Source organism: Homo sapiens, chromosome 2 (genome assembly GCF_000001405.40).
Source record: "Homo sapiens chromosome 2, GRCh38.p14 Primary Assembly".
Classification (NCBI taxonomy): domain Eukaryota; kingdom Metazoa; phylum Chordata; class Mammalia; order Primates; family Hominidae; genus Homo; species Homo sapiens.
The window spans coordinates 232764819-232788321 of NC_000002.12; the positions used below are offsets into that span (position 1 = coordinate 232764819).

At 36.9% G+C, this 23503-nt stretch overlaps 2 protein-coding genes and 1 pseudogene across 9 annotated transcripts in view, besides 1 other annotated feature; 2 read left to right on the forward strand and 1 right to left on the reverse strand.

Moving 5' to 3' along the window:
• The window catches only part of GIGYF2 (GRB10 interacting GYF protein 2), a 163275-nt gene that overhangs the window by 67488 nt on the left and 72284 nt on the right, over positions 1-23503 (forward strand). For 4 of the 5 annotated variants that reach the window (NR_103492.1, NM_001103146.3, NM_015575.4 and 1 more), the window contains one exon: positions 22332-22511. Coding sequence is in view for 4 of the 5 variants with exons in the window: in NM_001103146.3 (NP_001096616.1) it covers positions 22332-22511 (180 nt within the window). In the remaining variant the exon portion in view is untranslated. Of the gene's footprint in view, positions 1-11593; positions 11660-22331; positions 22512-23503 lie in introns of all 5 variants that reach the window. The other variant, NM_001103147.2, reaches the window with a different exon arrangement.
• Positions 984-11747, reverse strand: KCNJ13 (potassium inwardly rectifying channel subfamily J member 13). Of its 4 annotated transcripts, none has more exons than NM_001172417.1 (3): positions 11627-11747; positions 6085-6327; positions 984-3995 (listed from the first exon to the last, which is right to left on the reverse strand). In NM_001172417.1, the coding sequence occupies exons 2-3, from the start codon at positions 6302-6304 to the stop codon at positions 3373-3375; spliced, it is 843 nt and encodes a 280-aa protein (NP_001165888.1). In that variant the 5' UTR covers positions 6305-6327; positions 11627-11747; the 3' UTR covers positions 984-3372. The 4 variants fall into 4 exon arrangements, with proteins under 4 accessions (NP_001165888.1, NP_001165887.1, NP_002233.2 ...); NM_001172416.1 differs by having other exon boundaries at positions 6321-6560; NM_002242.4 differs by having other exon boundaries at positions 6085-6560.
• Positions 15201-15495: a silencer, noted in NCBI's record as "tiled region #7298; HepG2 Repressive non-DNase unmatched - State 15:Elon". NCBI's record gives its function as "represses a minimal TATA promoter and a strong SV40 promoter by Sharpr-MPRA in HepG2 cells {active_cell/tissue: HepG2}" and the evidence as "EXISTENCE:reporter gene assay evidence [ECO:0000049][PMID:27701403]".
• Positions 17847-17948, forward strand: RNU6-107P (RNA, U6 small nuclear 107, pseudogene; annotated as a pseudogene).

A 23503-nucleotide genomic window follows, 5' to 3' on the forward strand; every position in this document is an offset into this window, starting at 1 on the left:
TTGGAATAGTCAAGTTTAGTCGTTGTTATTTGTGGTTTTCATATTTTAACTATATTAATCCAATGAGGGTAATTTTCTTAGCCACCCTCTATTAAAGGTAAAGGTTCTTTTATTTACATCCCATTGGTATATCTTTGAAAAGGCAGGTTCCATAAAACTAAACTAACATGAAGTATCTCAGAATATTAAGGATACTAACTTCTAGTTAGTATCTACTATTATATAACTGCTAGTATACTAAAATATCATGGTAATTTCCACATACATACATATTCTAATATGTCATAGTCACTTTGATTGAATGCTTTTTGAAAAGATGCTCACTTCAGGTTAACTGCTAAAGATTCTGAGCTTTTACTTTTTGGAAGTAATCCACTTTTGTTGACGATAATGTAGGTCTTTAAAAAACATTGTTCATAATTATATCTTACACTCTCCAAGAGTAGCAATACTAAACTAGTTTGTTCAGGCACACTGATACATTGATCAGTATGAGGTCAATATGAGTATATTGTGAGATATCCTACGACATCACATTAAGACAGTTCAAGTACTGAAGATTCCAGGATGATCTATTCTTTTTAAAATTAGGAATGATGCTTACCATGTATTTGCTTCTCATGAAAAGAGAAATGGGTAGAATTACAGACATCTTTAGATGTAAGATGTCTTGTAAGATGTAAGAAGCTTGCATAACCCCTGTGAACAACCATAGGAGAATGTGAAGGTGGAAAAATGTCTTTGATACTAGAATTAGAATTCCTACTCAGTAGGAATTGATTGTGCACAGGGGGAGATCAGTTCTGGTGCCCATCTTATGGTATGATTCTGTAAGGGTGAAATGAAAGGATTATTAAAAAATAATCCATATGATACCGGTTCACTCAGCCCAGTGCAATACAAATTAGTGTATTTTGGTATGAAGTACTTGTTAATAGACATAGCAATTTTTGGTTATAGACTCTTCTGGTACTTGGTAGTATGGGCTTGTACATATGTAAAACTAGGCCCCTGAGATTTTTAGGTAACGACATGCCTCCAGTTTGTTGAAACTGTCATGCTATCTTTATCAGTTTCCAAAGGAACGTTTAAAGTTAGTTCCGAAGTAGTCTTCCTGATCATGTGTGCAAGACTTCATGACCAAGCTCCCAGATGATCCAGGTTAGTGAGCTGCACATCCAGAAAGGCAGAGCAGCCATTCCTCCCTCCCAGTAATTTCCGCCCTTTTTCCATTGTTACTTCCTTTTCCTCAGAGGATAATGGTCTTTCTATAGAAAACCTAATCCTTAACCTAGAAACTGTGATTTGAAATAAGTGAAAGAAACAATGAACAGTCCTCCCAGAAACTTTCTATCTCCTGCAAAAAAGTTTTGGATCACGTTTCTTATAGATTTATAAAGTGTTTATTAAATAACAGTAGTTTACCAATAGTTTTTTTTGGCATGTGTAGGGGAAGTCATATTTAGTTTTCAAATGCCAAATTTATTATAAACAGTAAGTATAATATGAAACTCATCTGACTTAAATGGAACCTTAGATCTCAGGTTTTACTCATTCACTTATGTCACCTTGGGCAGCTTCACTTAACAAGCGAGAGGGTGAACTGTGTAAGTGATGTAGTGCCTTTAGGAAAAAACATACCATGTAAGTCTTCAATACTACTTTATTTTCAAAGGTTAGGTGAATCTTGTTAATTTATTATAGAAATAAGAATTCTTGCTGTCTTTATGTGTTACAATAGTCTTGGGTTGGGAAAATCTGTTGGTCTGATTTCTACTTAAGAATGAATGTCTAAGATTTTCAAACAGCAAAAGTTCACAATAATTAAGTTTCTGTGTTCTTGATATTCTTCTGCTATTATCAGTCTTAGACCACTCCAGAGTTCTTCTTTATTTTCTTTTCCTTTTGGTCAAATAGTAGAAAAATGTGACTTGCTGCTGAGCCCTGCTCTTCACACCTGCTTGCCTTTACTCAGCTAGTATTTATTTCAAGAGATGATTCCTGCCTAGGTCATCACCAGTGGGGAAGGTTAATCTTTCATTTTTCCCACAGAAACCTGAATAAGGGAAATTTCAGAAAAGAACAGCCACAAATCTGTTTGAAACCTGATAGGGTGACTTTTTTGGTTTTTGTTTTGTTTTAAGGACAGTTTCTCTTTTTTTTATTGAAATGAAAATCATGCAAATGATCATCTTAAACTGGACATAAGGGAAAGGGCTCATTTTAGCATAGATAAAATAAAAAACAGAGGAAACATAATTTTTATAGACTATTAGATTTAGAAAGAAATAATAGAGTTCATCTAGTCCAACCTCCTACTGGTGAATAAACACTGATTTTGTGTTTATAGAAAAAACTATTTGAAGTTGGAAACAGGAATTTGAGTTTGAAAATGCTTTGTTGCCTAATTATCTTTTGCTTTATCTACTGTAGATTTTTTTCCCTACTCACTCAAGTTATATCTAAGTAAAGCTTTATATCTATAAAGACTTAAATATATTTTTGTATTTATGAATTAGAGCCATCATGATGTTTTATATGATCAAATGAATCATACATAGGAGGGGAATGTTTTTACTTAGGTTGCTAGAAGTCATTTAGATGAATCACCGTTTGATTATTATGGAGGACAGTTTTAAAATAAAATTTTGCGTCTCCTTGCAATGCAAAATACCACCCCACAGGTTCCATTTGGGCTGGAGCTTATCTGATCACCTTCTGCCACAAATAAGTGAACATATATGTATGTGTTCGGGTGTCATGTTCAAATGCTTTTAGGTTTATGTATAAATCTGTACTTTGTTGTTTTTCTCGTTAATTTTTGTTCTTAGTTGTTAAAAATTAAGGAGGTAATACTTACTCAAGTTTCATAGTATAAAGAACCAAATGAATGATCTTTGTTGTCTTGAAAAAAATCCCAGCTCTTAAAGGATATTCACTAAGTATAGTGAAGTCGTCATTCCACCCAGGGAGCTAGGTTTGAAACTAAACTGTTGCTTCAATTTGCAGATGAAAATGAGAGATTAATGGTTGATTTTCTTAGAGTTCAGTTGTGTTAAACTTCACTGTCCATTTTGCCTTCATTACTAGTATCATACCACATTCTTATAAATTCACCAGCAACATTTCTGTATAAGTGTCTGTCAAGTTGAGTTACATTGATTTCAGCAGGTAACAAACTTTGTAATGTAGAGTGTTATGTTTCCAGAATGTGTATTGTTAGCTCAGCCATTCTTATGTAGGCATAGGCATGATTACCGTGATGTAGAGAGCTATAATTAGCATTGAAAAAAGAAAACATGAGATACAGTAAAGAAAAAGTAGCTGCATAACTGGCTGGGTGTATTTAATACATTAAAAAATGGATAAGTCTTATTCTGTCAGTCCTGTTTCAGAGATCTGAAAATTGTCAATGCTTTGTCCATTGATGTGGATATCCAGGTCAGTCCTGTTTGGGCTTTTAGAAACCAGAGGAGTTGGAAATTCAGGGACAGTCTTGTCAAAATTCTCCATCTTGATTTGATATTCACCTTTGGAACCTCGGGTCAACAGAGATGCAAAACAGTGATGTAACATGATTTCAGACGGTAGGTAGGATGTCCTCCTTTGGCATATTTCTCCAGTGCCCTCCTGCATTGCTGAAAGGAATACAACTAATTCAAAGTGAGAAGGATTTTCATGCTGGAGCAGAGTAGCCAGAGGACTTGATGGTGTAATGGAGTGATAGTACGTTAGTGGAAAGATGAAGAATGGACATTCGTCAGAACTGATGCCATCAAGGTGGAAATCCACACTGGTCTGGTAGAGTTTGCCATTTTCTCTTTCCTGATAGAGTACAGCTGAGACCCGGACACTGGTTAGAGGGCTAGGTCGGGTGTTGGCCACTTGGAAGATAAGATTAGGTTTGCCATCCATGTGAGCTACTACTGCTGTGTCAGTAAAGCGAATTGAAAAAGCTCGATTTTTTGGCCGGGCAATCTTCGCCACAAAAGCACCTAAATAAGAAATTATTGATTTTTTTTTAGAATGAAGACTTTAAATATCAATACTTTTTCTGAATGACAAGTGTATATCAAATATTTACACATTTCTTGGTGCCATGCCTTTCAGTGAGTCAGGAATTGAACTCATTGTTAATTTGGTCAGTCTTATTTGCCTGAAGCATTTTTCAAAGTACATTTCTGTTTAAAAACCATGATTTCAGAATAGATAAGCAAAATGATTTTGTTACAGAGAAATGTAAAACTTCATCCTCTAGTTTCTTACAAAGTCAAAGAATTGGTCATTTCCTATATTCCTGCCTGTGCTTAAAAAAAAGTAATAGAAAATAAATGCAACTTGGCTACAGCCAGATTACGTTGAAGTAGAGACTAGGTTCAGAGTAGAATGATTTGGGATGGGGAGGGGACCAATAGAATGAGTGATATTTTGGCCAGGCATGGTGTCTCACGCCTGTAATCCCGGCACTTTGGGAGCCCGAGGCGGGCGGGTCATTTGAGGTCAGGAGTTTGAGACCAGCCTGGCCAACATCATGAAACCCCGTCTCTACTAAAAATACAAAAATTAGCTGGGTCTGGTGGCACATGCCTGTAATCCCAGCTACTCAGGAGGCTGAGGCAGGAGATTGCAGTGAGCCAAGTTTGTAGCACTGCACTCCAGCCTGGGCAACAGAGGAAGACTCCATCTCAAAAAAAAAAAAAAAAAAAAAAGTGATATTTTGAAGAATTTTTAAACTTTGAAACGTATTTTTAAACTTTGAAACTCAGAAACCTTTTGTGGGGCAGGGGAGGACTGACTATCAGGTAATTTCAGTGCACCTTTCAGGTCTATCTTCCTTGTGCCCTAAGCTATATATAAGAGTTTCTTAATCAGTTTTGTGCCACAGATTTTGTTGGCGGGCTGTTGGTAAGGTCTAAGAAGTAAGTACTTACCAGAATTATGTTTTAAGTGCTTAAAAGTAAAATATAAAAGAAACCAAATTATTGAAATTCAGTTGAACATTTAAGAAATGTTATTATAGTACTATATGTGCCTTACTGATACATTAAATAACAGTCTAGTGGTGGTTTTAGTACTGTGATTTTCAAGTATTCTGGTTTGATATGACAAAATATTTATGATTTCTGTTTGAATCAAAGCTACTAATACTGCTGGTGGTATTGTTTTTTGTTGCCTGTAGGAGATGCCAAATTTCAATTAGTGGTTAGTGCCAAGAGATACAAGTTTTTCCCATATAAGTTTATAGACCCCCTTAATTGTATGCAAAGGACTGACCCAGTATAGGAACTCTTGTTGTAGAAGTTTGTGATTTGCAGGTTATAGAGCTGGTTGGTAGCACACTGGGATTTCATTCCAGATCATTCTTCATACGGCCCAATGCTTACCTTCTCAGATTATTATTGAATAGTATATTAAAGCCAAGTTTTCTTTTGAAATTATGTATGTCACATAAAAAGGGCACTAGTCCTCCTTTAAAGGAAAGAGTTTTCTGTGTTCATGAGCAAAATTTCATAATCTTTGTGGACATATTTCCAGTGCATTTTGCTAAGAATGTGTATACATAACTTGTTCTCTAACATATAATGCTGACTGTGGTGTTCTGGGCTCACTGGCATAAAGTAAATGTTGAAAAGATGAACTCATAGGAGGGAATTCTAGCTCAGTGAAGAAAAAAAACCAAATTCTTTTGTTAGGTAAAATGACTGTCAAAATAGGTATTGAATGTATTTATTTATGTATTTGACAAAATGATTAGCTTCAGTGAAAACCTCCTTTTAAACCTTTTGTTAATTTTTTTTTTTTGATATGGGATATTTCTGCAATTTAGTATCATACTGATCTCTTTTTTCTTAAGTAGTTACAGTAAGTAAAATTTTGGCATTGAGACAGGTTCCTTATGCATTTCTCCTATTTTTTTTGGCTCTAAACTGTTTCTTTTCTATCTTAGACATTACCTGCTATCAATATAGATAAATTATTCTGTAACAGCATTACTTATAACTGACTATACCCTTTCCAAACACCTGTAGTTTTGTTTTGTTTTGTTTTTGTTTTTGTTTTTTTTAAGAACAAAGACAAAATTACCTGTGATAAAAGCCTCTAGCATGAGGCCTAGGAGCATTTGTATGGCAAGTAAGGCGATTGCACTTGGACAGTCACCACTGGGGAACATGGTACCATAACCAATTGTGAGTTGTGTCTCCAGGGAGAAGGAGAATGCAGCTGTGAAACTGGTGATATACTTGACACAGATAGTGTGGTTTTCAGGTGGGGCATCATGATCTAGTTCCAGATCACCATTCATCTCAGCCAGAACATACCAGAGCACTGCAAAGACAAGCCAGTGGACAACAAAAGAAGCAGAAAAGACCAACATCATCCAACGCCAGCGCATGTCCATTAGGATTCCCCAAGCATCTCGAAGATATGCAAGACCTCTTTGAGCGCCATCCATTTGAAGTGTGCTGTGGCCATCCTTGGTGACCATCCTCCGGTATCTTTGACTTAGGAGAGGAGCAATAACTTTGCAATTACTGCTGTCCATCTCAGGCTGTATTTCTCTAAAATCAAGAGTAAATTAGTAAGCTCTTAACTGTTTTATAGTTAATGTTTGTGAATTTGGAGAGCTCATGGACTTTCTGCTTTCTTGGGAATGCTTCTCTAACCACAACTTTGCCAACTCTCTCGCTTTTCTCTTCACGTTAGATGGCATTTACTAAGTCATTCATTTGGGAGCTAATTGTGTGTTACCTTAAAATATCTCTTCTATTGTTTCTTTGAATGACAGTTAAAACATTGTTTAACACTTAAACATTTTCTAAGTATATTTTAGAATTCCTGTAGGTAGAGATTATATACCCCTGTGTCTTCCTTGCACAAGTCCGGGTGTCAAGCATTTATTGATTTGACCAAATATTGTGTATAAAGACTAGCATTTCATAGTTAATTTATAATTATGCATTATTCATAATTAAAAGGGGTATGTTTAAATATGTAAGTGTTCTTCTGTGTAAATAATTAGAAGTCATTTGGAAGCTTATTATTAAACTGTCTGCAAATCCTTTGAAGCCAGATTTAGTATAGGACAAGGCTTACATTTGTGGTAAGCTTTTAGAGGTTTGTAGTTCTAATGTATGCTTTATAATTAGCCTATTCAGAGTTTGATTTATTGATTTGTATTTTTAGAGACAGGGTCTTGCTCTGTCTCCTAGGCTGGAGTGCAGTGGCACAATCATAGCTCACTGCAACCTCAGCAAATTTTTAGAATTTTAATTTTTGTTGGTACTGGGCTCAATATATTGCCTAGGCTGGTCTCAGACTCCTGTTCTCAAGCCATCTTCCCACTTCAGCCTTCCAAAGCGCTGGGATTACAGGGGTGAGCCACCATACCTGGTCTTATTTAGAGTTTTATGATTAGGCTTTATTTGTTTTTGTCACTTTGCAACCATGTTCGTGGATTCTTTCTGTCCTGGATGATGGATTGCTATCTCTTTGCATATTCTAGGCTCTGATTAGATTGGGGGGTAGAAAGAGAATTGTTTCTTGGCAAAATAAGAAATTCCAGGAAGACATTTCTGGATAGCATTAGCTTTAAAAGTAAGTAAACTAGAAGAAAAAGGTTGAATAGTTCAATGAACTAAAATAATCATTAAGGGGTTAAATAAGAATTTTAAAAAGATAACATTAGTATAATTAGTTTTCTGCTGCAAACAGTTTTCATCAGTGGTTATCCTTTTCTCAAGGTGGTGAGTAGAAATCTAATGTGTGCCTTCCTTGTAATCATCCTTGCGTATGACAAAGGTGTCTTAAGACTTTAGTGTAGCAGTTACTAGGAACAGAACAGGAAATGCAGCTTTGCTTCCCTTGAGTGAGCCTCTCTTGTTTGCTACAATTCAGGACTATGAGTTTATATTTGACTGTCCTCTTTGCTTCTTCCTTTAGAGGTAGATACCCTTGAGAGTGCTGCATACCCACTTCCTGCCTTTTAATGGGGCTTGAGAAGGGCACTACAGACTTGTGGAGCTAGGTTGTTGCTTGGGTTTCCTAGTTCCTATATCTCGGGACTTTGAGGCTTTGGAGACTGCCTTTCTGTGTTGTTGGAATTGGATATTGGCCACCTGGGTATATACAACTTTCTTTTGCTCTGAGGTAACTTAACATTTATTGGTGATTAGAGACTTTTTTTTGTATTTTCTTCAGATTTGAGCTAATGGAACACTGGGATGATTGTTCAGTTTATTTAGGTTAGATGGCGATTTCAGTTTCATATGATATAGACTTTAAAAAATCTTAGTGCATTATTTTAATGTTTTATAACTTATTACCCTAACAAGTTGTCATAATCATTTAGTGTATTCTTTTTTCTTGGCATAGCTACTTAATGACCCTTATTTTGTTAGATTATTTTTAAATGTTTTAGGAGACCTGATCTCTACGCTTTGGAAACAACAAAATCTTCATAGGCACTGTGATAACTGCTTTCATACTGTATTATCTCTTAATTCTTCAGTATCTCAACAAGATAGCCATTGTTCCCATTTTCAGATGAAGTCACTGGTGCTCAGACAGATAAAAGAAATTTACACAAGGCAAATAGGAGCTTTGGATTATTTGGATGGTTATTCAAGTCTAGCTAACTTCAAAGCCAGTTAATTTTTTTTTTTAATACAGGAAGCGTTTGGTGAAATAACAGTCTTTCCAAAAATGATTGATATTGCATTCTCAAGAAGGTCTTTGATAGCCAAATTTCTAGCACCTTTAGTAGATGCCTTTCTTGCCCCTGAAACTGTCTCAAGTATCTGTATTAAACCATTGTTAACTTTGTTCATGATTCTTTAGATAGTAATGATTAATAATATTAGCTAATATATATATTGTTTAGCATGTGCCAGGAATCATACCAAATACTTCATATGTACAAACTGATGTGAAGCCAGTGGCACAGAGTAAGCTCTCAGTAAAGTATTAGTTGCTTTATTGTTATTAAAAACGTGTCTGGCTCCCAGCACTTCGGGAGGCCGAGACAGGAGGATTGCTTGAGTCCAGGAGTTAGAGACCAGCCTAGGCAACGTAGTGAGACTTTGTCTCTATTTAAAAAAAAAAAAAAAAAAAAAAAGGTGTCTTAAGTTTCACAGTAATAAGTATCACTATTAGTCCCATTTTACAGATAACGAAAGTGAGGAACCAGGCATGGTGACTCATGCCTGTAACACTAGCACTTTGGGACGTTGAGTCGGGAGGATTGCTTGAGGTCGGGAATTCAAGACCGATCTGGCCAACATAGCGAGACCCTGTCTCTAAAAGAAAAAAAAAAAAGAAAGAAAATGAGGTATAATGAGGTAGTAAGTGGTGGATATGAATATTATACATTCTGAGTCCAGAGTTAGTGCCATATTGCCTCCAAAACAGATGTTTGACCCTGCTTAGCCTTTGTGAATAATACAGTTTCATTTGATTAGTTTTGTTCAAGAGCCGCTCCAGAGTGTTTGTTCTTCAGTAATGTTTATTGGGTTCAGACCTATTATTTGTAGGTTAGAAACAGATATTCAGTTAGGAAAGACTTCTTTCAAGACTTGAAGATTATCACAGTCTGAATTATTAGATAGTCCAGTTGTGTTTTGCACATCAGTAAAATTAAAGCAATGTAGAGAGGAGAGTTATGACATAACATTGCCAAGTTTCTGTTTTGCCAGATGAGAAGACAATTTTACAAGTATAATACTGTCATTATAAATAAAATTATGATGACATAATAAAAGATTTTGACACATGGAAGAAGGATATAACAATGAAAGGATAGTTGGTTGCCTTCAAAATGGTGGGTGAACAACTTTGTCATTCTCCACTGTTGTTGCTTCCTGCCTATGTGAAAATGCCCCTCATGCTCCTGGACACTAGTGCTTGTTCCACATTTGGAGCCACTGTCCTACTGAATGCTGCTAAGTGCTTAGTGTTTCACAAAAGCTTGAGAAAGAAAAAACTCCATGATTCTTTTGTATTTTCAACCTATTTTATGAAAGTTCTAAAATTCCTTACTTAGAGCCTTTCTGTATAGACTGTAGCTAACAAAATTCATCATTCTCATTTGGGCTTTTTCAGGACTGTTGTTACTTCTTACCTACAACTTTTGTAGCACTCTTACTCTAGGCTCTTTACAATTGTATTTTTTTTCTCTTGCAACTAAATACATGGAAAAACCTGTGAACAGGGAAGTCAAAAGGCTGATAATCGGAACAGTTAAGCAGCATTTTTTTTTTTTTAACCTAAGACTGCTGGATTTGGTTTGGATTGTGTTGGCAAGTGGAGTAATATAGAGAAGGAAGATTGATTTCTGATTCCCACTTAACCAATTACCCTGAATAACTATTCTGTGGACTCTTATAGTCAGTGTGGTTTAGTGTAGAGAACGCAGGATAAGGGGATATGGCCTTCAGGCTCTAGCACTGTTGGTTACATAGCTGTGTCATTTTGGGCAAACCACTCAATCCCATTGGCCTGGCATCCTTAGATTAAAACAAAGAAAGTGAAAAAAGAGGGAATTATGATAATAAGATTTCTTAAAGCTCTACAGACTTATGTAAACAAACATATTTCCACTTCCTACAAAGGATACAAGTTTCCTATATGATTTCTTTTATTTCTGTATAGTTTGATGTCTGCTCGTATGGTTTAAAAAATTATACTATTGTTACCTGATATTTAAGTCTCATCAGCTGATCCCAATAGAAAGTGAGGTGGAAGGTTGGGAAGGTTTGCTTCTATTGCTGTGTGTGGGCTGTAAAATATTTGCCCATTTATAAATTATTTGGAGGAAAAATAGTACCTATTAAAAAATGATAGGCAGCTTCACTGATCATCAGAATTCATTCTACTCATTGGGTTGTAGCACTTAAAAGTATGTATTTTCTGTTGCCATGATAAAAAATAGTATAGTTCATACTGAGGAGTTAAGATAAAGGCTATAACTAACAAACATTAAATGAAGATGGCATTACTATGTATTTGTTCATGTCTGGTGTAAATACTTTAAGACTATATTGAAAGTCTTATAATGATTTCTCCTGCCCTCCACAATTAGGGCAAACACTATTGAGTTCTAACCCTGTTATATAAGCTCAGAGATTCTATTTTAATTTCTCAGTTGCAGAAGTATCTATTAATTTCCGCAATAATTCCATGCTTAAAAATTTACGATTAGGATACTCATCACTTTCTTCTTAGATTACAGAAGTAAAAACAAAGTGGCTTATTCTTTTGGCATTTGTTTTTTTATGCTCATTTTGGGTTTTTGAAATTCCTTCCAAAAGAAAAAGACTTTTTTTTTCCTCAAGCCACTGAATTTTTTTTCCTAAGGCCTTTATCCTCTACTGATATATTGTAATAGAAAATTAGTATACATTTAATAAAACAGTTAAGAAAATTTCCAGTAATACATTCAATATGGCTGTTATTGCATTTTTAAGATTTAAGGGAAAAGAATATAGAAACCTTACTATCCTACACTATAGATAATGTCTTTGTTTTAAAAATCTGTTGGAAGTAATCTAGCTCTGTTGCTATTTGCCAGTCAGTTTCTTTCCCTGTTTCCCATAAGGAAAGAAGAATGGATATTATTGCATGTACTCACCAGTTCTTTTGCTGGGTCAGCCTTTATGCCAAGGTAGGTCTTAAGGAAATTTACAGAGTCTGCCTTTTTGATCAGATAATTTTAATCTACAAGTCTAGTTTGTAGGTTCTCTTCTTGGACTGGTTTTACAGCTTACATTCCTCTGTTTATAATGTTGTGGGGGCTGGTTTCAGCTGAGGTTGATGTGATTGGTCACTTAGCCTGCAGGGGGGCCAATTAGCTCTGATCATGTGGAAAAGAATGCTGGTTTGTTAGGAGGTCTTTCTTTACCCAACACAAACCTTAACAACTCTGGAGAAAGCCTCCAGAACTGACTTGGAGAAGGGGTGCATTTTTTCCCTCTAATCAGGACCGGTCTTTAGTAAGTTTGCATAATCTTACTTAAGAGTTTTTTTGAAAGTTCAAAGGGATAAAATTCCCTGCAAGATTTTTCAGCCGTCTTTCCTTATATAGCATGTTGAAGTGTGAGATATTTCCTTTACTAATCTTTTTTTTTTTCCACCATGTCTTTGGGGAAGATTTATTTGGATAAGGACTTATAGGCATAAATTAATGCATTGATTTTCTTAGTTTTCTTCTCATGTCTCATCAGAATGGCTACCATTAGTTCCAGAACTAGTAATATAGATAATTACGTGAAATCTTTTATTTTTTTGGTTAGGAAACAAACTTTTTTTTTTTAAAGGCTGTATACAAAGACCTTGAATAGGAATAAAATTAATTGTTCTGTACCTGATACTTTAAAAAATGCACACCTGTGGGAAAGAACCGAAGAATTTTCTTAAGGCTTATTTTAATGATGTTTAGAAGATGTTTTCCTGATCAGTGTGATGAAGTATAGTGTTAATAAAACATAGTGTACAGTGTACAGAAAATGTAACACAACATTGAAATAGTGTTTAGCTGGAAAATGTGATCCAGCTTGTTGGAACCCTGAAACGTGCTGTGGTATGGCTTTGTGCAGTGCCTTAGTGAACAGTACTTTTCTCCTCCTCCGTTAGCTGCTGATTTTAAAACTTTGACCAAATGTCACATGTAAGAGGATCTGAGAAACAAAGACTGTGATTGTTCAAAGTAAAATCTTGGAAGGCCTGCTGGGAAAATTATTAATGTAGACCAATATAATGCTACTTAGAAAGTGAAATCCGCCTTTGTAGAATCCTCTCCGTCCCCCCCCCGCCCCACAATTTAAAAAATATATTAATTCCTTCTTTGTTTTATTAGTACCAAATACTTCAACACAAGTTCAGACACAGCATTAGAAACACTGACCTTCAGAACTAGGGAAGGTAAAGTATAAAGAAGGATTTGTGGTGTGATGCTCATTCCCTGCATGTACTGGTAGGAATTATAATGTGTATCAATTCCCAGCTAACAAATTGCAGAAAAACAGAACAACACAACAACAAAATACTAGAACAAGTATAGTATAATACTGCTTCTAGAAAGCAGAAGCACTTGAGTGTATCTGTCATGTGTTTTGAATATACATTGTATATTTTTTATTTTCATTTTTTTTAGACATAGAGTCTTGCTGTGTCACCCAGGCTGGAGTGCAGTGGTGTGATCACAGCTCACTGCAGCCTCGACCTCCCAGGCTCAAGTGATCCTCCCACCTCATCCCCCACCCCCTGCAGTAATGCCACCACATCTGGCTAATTTTTTATTTTTTGTAGAGGCAGGGTCTTGCTGTGTTGTCTAGGCTGGTCTTGAACTCCTGGGCTCAAGCTGTCCTCTCAATTCAGCCTCCCAAATTCCTGGGATTACAGGCATGAGCCACTTCACCTGGCCTGAGAATACATATTATAGTAGGCAAGACAGTTAAGGATTTTATTAAACTTAAAAGTCTTTTTCCATAGTATACTTGGTTTCAATATATTGAGACAAAAATGATTTGGCAAAATGATCTTCAATTAAGAAAGAAATGTCTTAAGTGAAGCTAATTTCTGGATCTCTACAATTTGAAAGTCTTGCTATGGTCTATAAACAGTGATTCCTACTGCTGTGAATATTGTAGACCAGCTCTGAAGTGCCCACTTAGGAGCATAGCTCTCCCATTACAATAGCCTGAGCATTTAAAGTCATTTCTGGTTGAAGTTACCAGGTTAGCTGGTGTAGGGGAGAGAGAAGACCTTCTCTCTTCCTTTTGAAGGTTTGATAATTGAGTCTATAATATAAAGCAACAGTAGGTAGACTTAACAGAAGAAAAACAGTTTACATCCTTATGCACAAGAGTCCCACAAAACATGAGACTTGAGGAAGGACCAGATGATTGAAGTTCTTATAGCATTGGAATAGGGATGTGGAGGTCCTGGGGGAAGGTATTGACAAGCTGTGGGAAAATGAGGGGAGGAAATGTATGATGAACAAAAGTTGTCTAGTTATTGAGATAAAGTCTTTCAGGTATTGAAAATTAACTTGAGGAAGAACGCTACTAGACCTTTTAATCTCTTATGTGATAAGGTTAATCTTCCCTGATTGATGAAATTCTAGGGAGGGGACAAAGGAATTTTTTGAGATAAGGGGGCATCAGAGAAGGCCCCTCCCTGTGCTTGCTGTTCCCTAAGTTCTCTCAGTTTGCAGTAATGAGCATACCAAAGCAGTATATTTTGGGGTGGTGTTTCCTGGGGCTCCTTCACTGAGATGACACGGATATTGGCACAGATGATATGCCACCTTCACCCAGAAACTCATGGTCCTTCCCATCTAGACAATTTGTTATTTCTGTTGTAGCTGTTTCACAGTAAGGTAATTGGAGATGGCTCTAAAACATTTCTTCGGTGAATGAACATAAATGGTAAATACCTGTTCATAGATTGATGGATTGTGTCTCCAAAATTATAATGATTAAATTAAACAAGGTACCAAGACCTGGTTAATTATCCTGTATTAAATCTAGTCCTCTGTCCCTAAAGGCATTTGATTTTCTTTCTGACTGAAATAATTCACTATATATCTATAAATGTATCACATTTTTCTTGAGAACAGTAAAATCTTCAGTTGGAGTGCGATTTCTGGCCTATGTAAGTAGGTAATCTCACAGCTTTAAAACGTTAGCTCTGGTCTCCATGTTCTTGCTTACATAGTGTACTTGGCTTTCTTTTGAAGATGCCTAGTCTCTTTCCATTTCCACATGTCCAAGCCAACTACGAATTGCCTTCCCACAGATTTCAGGCAGCCTCTGGGTATGTACCAGCAGACAGCTGAGCATGAGGGCTGTAGGGTTGTGGTACATATTCAGATGGCCTGAGGACCTTTTTCAGAGATTCTGATACACTGCAGTTTCTCCAGTCTCTGCTGTTTTTTCAGGACTCTTGTTAACCAGCTGAGCAGGTTATTTATTCCTCAGGGAGAAAGTCGTAACTCTCTGGGTACAGAAGTTAAACTGCTCTGTCCTAGCCACCCTGAGTTTTGTTTATAAGTAATTGTAGGGGAGAGGGGTGGTAAATATCAACACTTGAGTGGGATGCCCTTTCACCATTTTCTTTGGTGTTAGATTTTTTTTTGGTGTTGATCAGATAATATATATCTGAACAGAGTAATACAAAGTCACTCCTTAAAAAATTTGCACATAAACAAGCTTCAAAGTCTGTCCCATAATTCCACTTTTGCTTGTGGAGCTTGTGGAGATTGGGCACTTGTAAGCTCCAAGTCTCACAGCTGTAGATTTTGTTGGCTGAGTGCCTCTTTGCTCCATCTGAAGTTTTCCATAAACACTATTTTTGGCCGTGGGTCAAACATGCACACAGGTGCCCTTTTACTGCTCTTTCTCCTTAGGAAGTCCACTCAGTTAGACCAGGCAAAAACTAACACTGCATTTTAATTTAATTTAATTTTTAGATGAATCCTATTTGGACTTAATAAACTAAGATTGAAACAACCAAGTATTTATTGCCACTGGGGAAATTGTATATGTAGTACGTATGTATTTTAGCACCTTTACATAATTTGCTTTTAACGTAAGGACATAAAATATATCGTTTTCCTCATAGTCATGTTTGCTATATTGAATGGAAAAAAATACATTTAAAATTTGTGTTTCTTTGCCTTTTGAGGGTCACAGACACCTTTAAAATTCTGACGAAAGCTGTAGACCCTTTTCCCTGAAAGAAGAAGAAAGCATGCCAGCACAAAGTGCATGTCCAGTGCAAGGATTCACAGCCCTGAGCTCATTCATTGACTGTAGATTAAGAATATTTGGTTCAGGCATGAGTTTGTAAATAATTCAATAAGGTTTACTTTAAAATCATCTTGTTTGTAAATCTGTTAAGATTTTAAAAGTAAGTCAACTGAAATACAGTATTTGGTTAGTCAACTTTGTCATGGTGCTGACGTTACAGAAGGAGGAAGCCTTTGATTTTGAATGCTGAGAAGGGCCATGTAACTGTCTCTCACTCATTTTAGTCTCCGTTGCTATGAATTGTTGGAATTTTTAGACGTGAAGGGAACTTAGATGTCATCTTCTAAACTGCCCATGAATGACTTTAATATTTATTATTTATTTATGTTTATTTTATTATTATTATTTTTGGAGACGGAGTCTTGCTGTGTTGCCCAGGCTGGAGTGCAGTGGCACAATCTCGGCTCACTGCAACCTCCACCTCCCGGGTTCAAGTGATTCTCCTGCCTCAGCCTCCTGAGTAGCTGGGACTACAGGCGCACACTACCAGGCCAGGCTAATTTTTAGTACTTTTAGTAGAAACGGGGTTTTGTCATGTTGGCCAGGCTGGTCTCGAACTCCTGACCTCAGGTGATCTGCCCGCCTCGGCCTCTGAAAGTGCTGGGATTATAGGCATGAGCCAACATGCCTGACCTGTTATTTATTTTAAATTATATCAGGAATACACACACACACACACACACACACACACACACACAACTTATAAAGATAATGGTCTCCTTGGCACTCCCACCCACCCACCCATCCAAATTTACACAAGTAAATCTGTAATCAATTTGGTTAGAAGGGATTTATTTTAATATTTTTGGGGATTGCTTAGATGCAGTATAATTTTTAGTTATATTAGTAGTAATTGGAAATGTGTATTTTTGTGACTGAAGTCACCTTCTAAATAATTTCTAGAATAAAATTTTTATATTGAAGAAGTTGGTCTTAACCATTTTTTTTTCAGGAGCATGCATTTTGAAATCATTCTGTGGGAAGATGAAAACAAATTTAGTTCTATGTCTCCCCTTTTTAGAGATGTTGACACTTTCCTTAAATGTACCATGCATGATTTGTCTACCACCCTTTTAGCTTGTTATACTTAAATCCCAGATCTCTGTCTTCCCATTTCAGTTTCTCTAGAATTTCTGGCTGCTTCCAATGGGTCAAATTTATGAGTGAACCATTAAGAATCACTTAGTGTAGAAATAAACCATGGGTTAGGAGTTTGAACACTGCCTAGGTTCTGTTTCTGATTTGATTATGACTCAGCTGTGTGGCCTTGGGAAACCACCTTACTGGTATCCCTATCCTTGCAGAAGCAAGAGAGTTAATGATGGTTGACTTAATCTCTTGTGGTTATTATGAAGATCAGATAAGATACATTAACACATTTTGCCAACTGAATAAGGTTATTTATTTACATGTGTGTCCATGGACCTGGGGATCAGGTGCTATGTCTCAGCCTTATCTTTGTTTTTAATCCTGTGTCTCTAATTGTGTTTGTCAGTAAAGGAGTGAGTCATTTAATGGTTGCTAGATGTTTGAGTAAAACAAACAAGCAAACAAATGGTAAATTAGTACTATTTCTTTTTAAAAAATTTTTTTTTACATTTTAAAAATTATAGATAAATACAGAGATGAGGTCTCACCATGTTGCCCAGTCTGGTTTCAAACTCCTAAACTCAAGTGATCCTCTCTCCTCAGCCTCCCAAAGTGCTAGGATTACAGGCGTGAGCCACCATGCCTGGCCAGTAGTACTATTTCTTTGGGAAAATATTTAGTAGTAGTCAACAAAGTTGAGCATACTGTGACCTGGCAGTTTTGATGCTAAGTATATACCCAACAGAAATGCAAACATATACTTACCAAAACTCATGTCCAAGAATATTCGTAGAAGCACAATTCTTATGATAGCAAAAAGGTAGAAAACAACCTAAATGTTTCTAAGCAGTAGCATAAGAGTAATACCGTGTGGTTTGTTTATACAGTGAGATCCTGTACAGCCATGTAAAAGACCAAAATATTCCCTGTAACAATGAGAATGAATCTCCTGTGCTTGCTTCGGCAGCACATACACTAAAATTGGAACGATACAGAGATTAGCATGGCCCCTGTGCAAGGAGAATGAATCTTCGTAATGTTCAGCAAAAGAAGCCAGATATAAATGAATATTCCATTTTATAAAAAAGTTTAAAAGCAGGCAAAGCTAATATTTGGGGCTAGAAATTAGGATAGTGTTTATCTTGGGAAGGGCTGATTGGGAGGACGCATGAAGATTTTTGAGGCTCCTTAAAATCTTTTTTTAAAAATCTAGGTGGTAGTTAAATTATATGTATTTGCTTTATGAAAACTGTCAGTTGTACATTTGTGATTAGTGTACTTTTAAAAAATGTTTTCTTAAAGAGGTGGGGAGATGAGTGAAGTCCATTTTAAAAGTTCTTGAGGTCTTTTCACCCTTATGAAAATGAGCACGGCCTCTGGAGGCAGAACTTATATGGCTTGATGAAAAATGTGGCTGTACTAACAAAAGAGAGACAAATTTAAAACAACCTTGTGATTCTCAAACTGTTGGAAAACCTGTAGCTCATAAAGTTTGAATGACCAATTCTGCATGCTTTGTTCCAAAAAGGATTTGAGGCAGAAAATTTGAAGATAAAGAGGAAAGCAACACCAAAGAAAGAATGATGAGATTTGGAGTCATTAGACCTGGTTTCAGATTCTGGTTCCAATTATTTTTTGTTTTGTTTATTATTTTTCTTATTTTGTTTATTTATTTTTTAATTATTTTGTTTTTTATTTTTTTTGGCTCCAGTTCTTATCTACACACCTTGACTAGTGAAGACCCAGTTCCTCATTTGTGAAAGAGGGGGTTGGAGGTGTTGTGGAGAATGAAGTAGCCTGAATTTACAAGAATACTAGTTCCAAACCATTCTACATGAATATTGGTTCAAGCCATTTTGAACAATACTTGTTCAGAAATTTCTATAAAGGAGCTTAAATTTTGTTACTAAGTGATTATTTACACAAAATAATTTCTTTTTTTTTGTTTGTTTACTAAGTCAGATCTAGGTGTTTTTTTGTTTGTTTGTTTGAGATGGAGTTTAGCTCTTGTTGTCCAGGCTGGAGTGCAATGGTGCGATCTTGGCTCACCGCAACCTCTGCCACCCGCTTCAAGTGATTCTCCTGCCTCAGCCTCCCGAGTAGCTGGGATTGCAGGCATGCGCCACCATGCCCAGCTAATTTTTTTTGTATTTTAGTAGAGACGGGGTTTCTCCATGTTGGTTAGGCTGGTCTCGAACTTCTGACCTCAGGTGATCCGCCCGCCTCGGCCTCCCAAAGTGCAGGGATTACAGGCGTGAGCCACCACGCCCAGCCTCAGATCTAGTTTTTTACTTGTAGTATCAATAAAATTTACTTACGTACCAGTAACAATTACATACAAGGATCAAAAATTTAGCTCCCTGAAATTCAGCATCCCTGAAATTAAATGGATAGGATTTTCTCATAACATGATCACATTTTTAAAAAGCCTGTTTAGGGCAACAGTTGGAAATAAGTGATGAAGAAACTGAATAAATTATACAGAAGTGCCCTTCTACATAATTTACTAAGAGGTCAAGGCAGAAGGATCACTTGAGGCCAGAAGTTCAAGACCAACCTAAACAACATAGCAAGACCCCCATCTCTGCAAAAATTAAATAAAATGAAATTTTAAATTTAGCTGAGTGTGGTGGCATGTGCCTGAGGTTCTAGCTACTTACACGAAATAATTTCTTTTTTTTTTTTTTTTTTTTTGAGACGGAGTCTTGCTCTGTCACCCAGGCTGGAGAGCAGTGGCGTGATCTGGGCTCACTGCAAGCTCCACCTCCCAGGTTCATGCCATTCTCCTGCCTCAGCCTCCTGAGTAGCTTGGGACTACAGGCGCCCGCCACCGCGCCCGGCTAATTTTTTCTATTTTTAGTAGAGATGGGGTTTCATCGTGTTAGCTTGATCTGACCTCGTGATCTGCCCGCCTTAGCCTCCCAAAGTGCTGGGATTACAGGTGTGAGCCACCGCGCCTGGCCACAAAATAATTTATAAAAGCTGCAATATGGTTTTTGATATATCAGATATTACATAATAACTACAATAGATTTAGATTATGACTTCTCTGGTAAACCAAGTGATATAGTTTGGATGTTTGTCCCCTCCAGATCACATGTTGAAATGTGATCGCCAGTGTTGGAGGTGGGGCCTGGTGGGAGGTGTTTGGGTCATGAGGGTGGATCCCTCATCCCCTCCCCACTGTAATGAGTTCAAGAGTCTGGGATCTCTGTCATCTTTCTTGCTCCCTCTCTCACCATGTGACATACTTGCTCTCACTTCACCTTCCACAATGAGTAACAGCTTCCTGAGGTCTCACTGGAAGCCAGACAGATGCTGGTGCCATGCTTGTATAGTCTGCAGAACCACGAGCCAAATAAACAACTTCTTCTTCTTTTTTTTTTTTTAATAAATTACCCAGCCTCAGGTATTCCTTTATAGCCATGCAAAATGGACTAATAAACCAAGGAAAGCCAGAATATAGTTCTGACATTCCAGACACGTCCTGCAGGTAAGAGCAAGGTCATAGATAATAAAACCCTTGCTTGGTGGTTCAAAACAGCAAACATTTATTATCTCAGTTTCTGTGGGTTGGGAATCTAGAAGCAGCTTAGCCTAGCTGGGTGGTTCTGGCCCAGGGTTCTTGTAAGGCTGCACTCAAGGTGTCAGCCCATGCTGCAGTCTCTCAAAGCTCAACTGGGGTTTGATCCACTTCCAGACTCACTCATGTTTCTGGTGGTAAGTCTCAGTTCTTTGCCATGCAAGCTTCTCCACGAGGTCTGTGTCACTACATGGCAACTAGTGTCCTTCAGAGAAAGTGTCCAAGATGGAAACTACAGTCTTCTTTAATATTTTAAGTGGCATCTCATCACTTCAGCTGCATTCTGTTAGTCCAGCTTATAATTGGGGGTAGAGGATTCCACAGAGATCAGCAGTCAGGGATTGTTGGTGAGCTCTTAGAGGCTGTCCACCACAATAAGAAAGCAGCAGATCATGTCTTCCATTCTCCCAAGATATTTTATCTTTCAGTAGAATGATACCTAGTAGCAGACTAACAACCATATGGACAAGCAGGATGCTGAATCTCAATATATGTAAGATGGAATATAACAGAATGACCAGAAATTAGAATTTCATTTTCATATGCTGTTGTTCAATTATTTTTTCACTTTTAGTATGGATTAATTAAAAGGATTGAGTTTGTCATTATGAGAACTTGAACTTTTATTGTTATAAACTGAGGACATCAATGTATGTTATTCTGGATTTTCAACTATTTTGATGTGAGATTTTATAAATGTTATGAGTTATATATGTTAGCACATGTGGAATGGTGACTGAAGAATTTGTTTGCACAATTTAGAATGATCTTGTCCTTTTAAAATACCAGTTTAGTTTACTTGGTATACCAGGCTCTCTTTTGACATTAATGTAACTTTTGAGACATTAGGTTAGACATAGCTTAGCTTTAAATTCTGTCCAAAAGCAATTTATGGTATGCCTGTATTGTATTAGGTGCTAGAGTAAATGAGGTTATACTACTTTTCAATTTTTTTTTTTGAGACGGAGTCTTGCTCTGTCACCCAGGCTGGAGTACAGTGTCGCGATCTCTGCTTACCGCGACCTCCGCCTCCTGGGTTCAAGCCATTCTCCTGCCTCAGCCTCCTGAGTAGCTGGGATTACAGGCACTTGTCACCACACCCAGCTAATTTTTGTATTTTGAGTAGACATGAGGTTTCACCACATTGGCCAGGCTGGTCTCCCAACTCCTGACCTCGTGATCCACCTGTCTCGGCCTCCCAAAGTGCTGGGATTATAGGCGTGAGCCACCACGCGGCCTGCTTTTCAGTTTATAATCTGTTTTGGAATGAAAGACGGCCTGAAATGTACAGATATCATGTTTAGGCAGAATCACCAGTAGGTGTTGGTTATATAAAGTATGTTGTATGATGAAAAATATCTTATAACTTTAAAAAGTATGTGCTAGTAAGGAAGGATTGGCAAGATACACTGTTAGTGAAAACAGCAAACAAAACAACATTTATAACATCCTGAGGGTGGCGTTTGTGTGTGTGGATGAGGGAGCTATGTATACATGTGTAAGTGTACCCATGGACAGTGTTTGGAAAGACTTTATAAGAAACTTGGTGATGGTTCCTTCTGGGGAGTACGACTCTGAGGGTCTTGTGTAGGAAGATGGACTTTTCATTGTACGCTTTTTCAAAAAAAATTTTACATAATATTTTTGTTTAAAAAAATTGCCCAGTCTCTGAACATGGCTTTAAGAAATGTGTCTAATAATATATACATATACCCACTGTTATTTTAGTGATTTTTTTCTGAATATTGAAATGGACCCATTTGCAGGAAAGCTTGATTTGAGCTGTGAAGTTTGTTTTCAAAGCCTATACTGGCAGAGGCTCATGTTTACTTACCATATTATTTTCTTTATAGGGAGACCAAATTTTGAGGAAGGTGGACCAACATCAGTAGGGAGAAAGCATGAATTTATACGCTCAGAAAGTGAAAATTGGCGCATCTTTAGAGAGGAACAAAATGGAGAAGATGAAGATGGAGGTTGGCGACTAGCTGGATCAAGGAGGGATGGAGAGAGGTGGCGACCTCACAGTCCTGGTAAGAATTCTGTTGAGTAAAGGCACACAGGGACTGAAATAAGGGAAAGTTTGATGGAAATAGGGATTAAATGAAAAAGATAAACTGGCTTAAAAAATGTGGGGGTGGATTCATATTATTTATGCTGTCACAGTTTTATTACTAGAAAAAATTGCAACATAAAAATTTCCTACATCTATTCAGTTGATTGAAATCACTTTTCTATTTTTCTGGGGCAAATAGTGTAGTTTAATGGGAAGCACCTGCGCTCAACTGCAGAAATGAGGGTTTCATTCAGTTTTGTCTACCTCTAAATCTCTGAATCTTTTTTAGCATTCTTTAAGATTTATAAATGTGTAAAAATTACACACTTGAAATATGTGCTTCCCTCCCCAACAATGAGTGTTTTTCCTAACAAGAAAGGGTTTATTCTTTCATTTTTTCCCTTTTGAAAATGTGATTTAACCTTATTTGAAGAATAAGCTTTAAACCTAGGTCAGAAACATAATCACAAGTTCATTCTTATGTCCTTCTAACTTTAGAAGAAGGAGAGACAATAGTAGTGATTAGTGGCTTTTAAAGTTCTTCTGTTTGTCTCTTAAAAATGCTCAAACTGTTCTTCTTGGACATTAGATATGCTAGTAATTGAAGACACTAGTGCTTTGTGTTAAAGTTCATCCTGTACCACAGTGCTGATTCCATGCCTCATGATAATCAGATGCAACTGTAGTTCCAATTGTGGGGTCATGCAAAACTGAAGCACACAGAGTATATGTGGAATGCCCTATGAATTTCATGTGTATGACAGTATTTTATCAACCATGTGCCAGAGGGGCTTACCTTTAATACAGGAAATTATGATAAGTAAACTGTTTTCACTTTTAAAAATCAAGTTATTAGCAAAACCACTAGCTTAGATCTGGGTAGACATTATAACAGGCATTCAGAGTATTTTAAGGAAGTGGTAGGTAGATAGAAACATACTGAAGTTAATGTTTGGGTAGAGTTAGGAT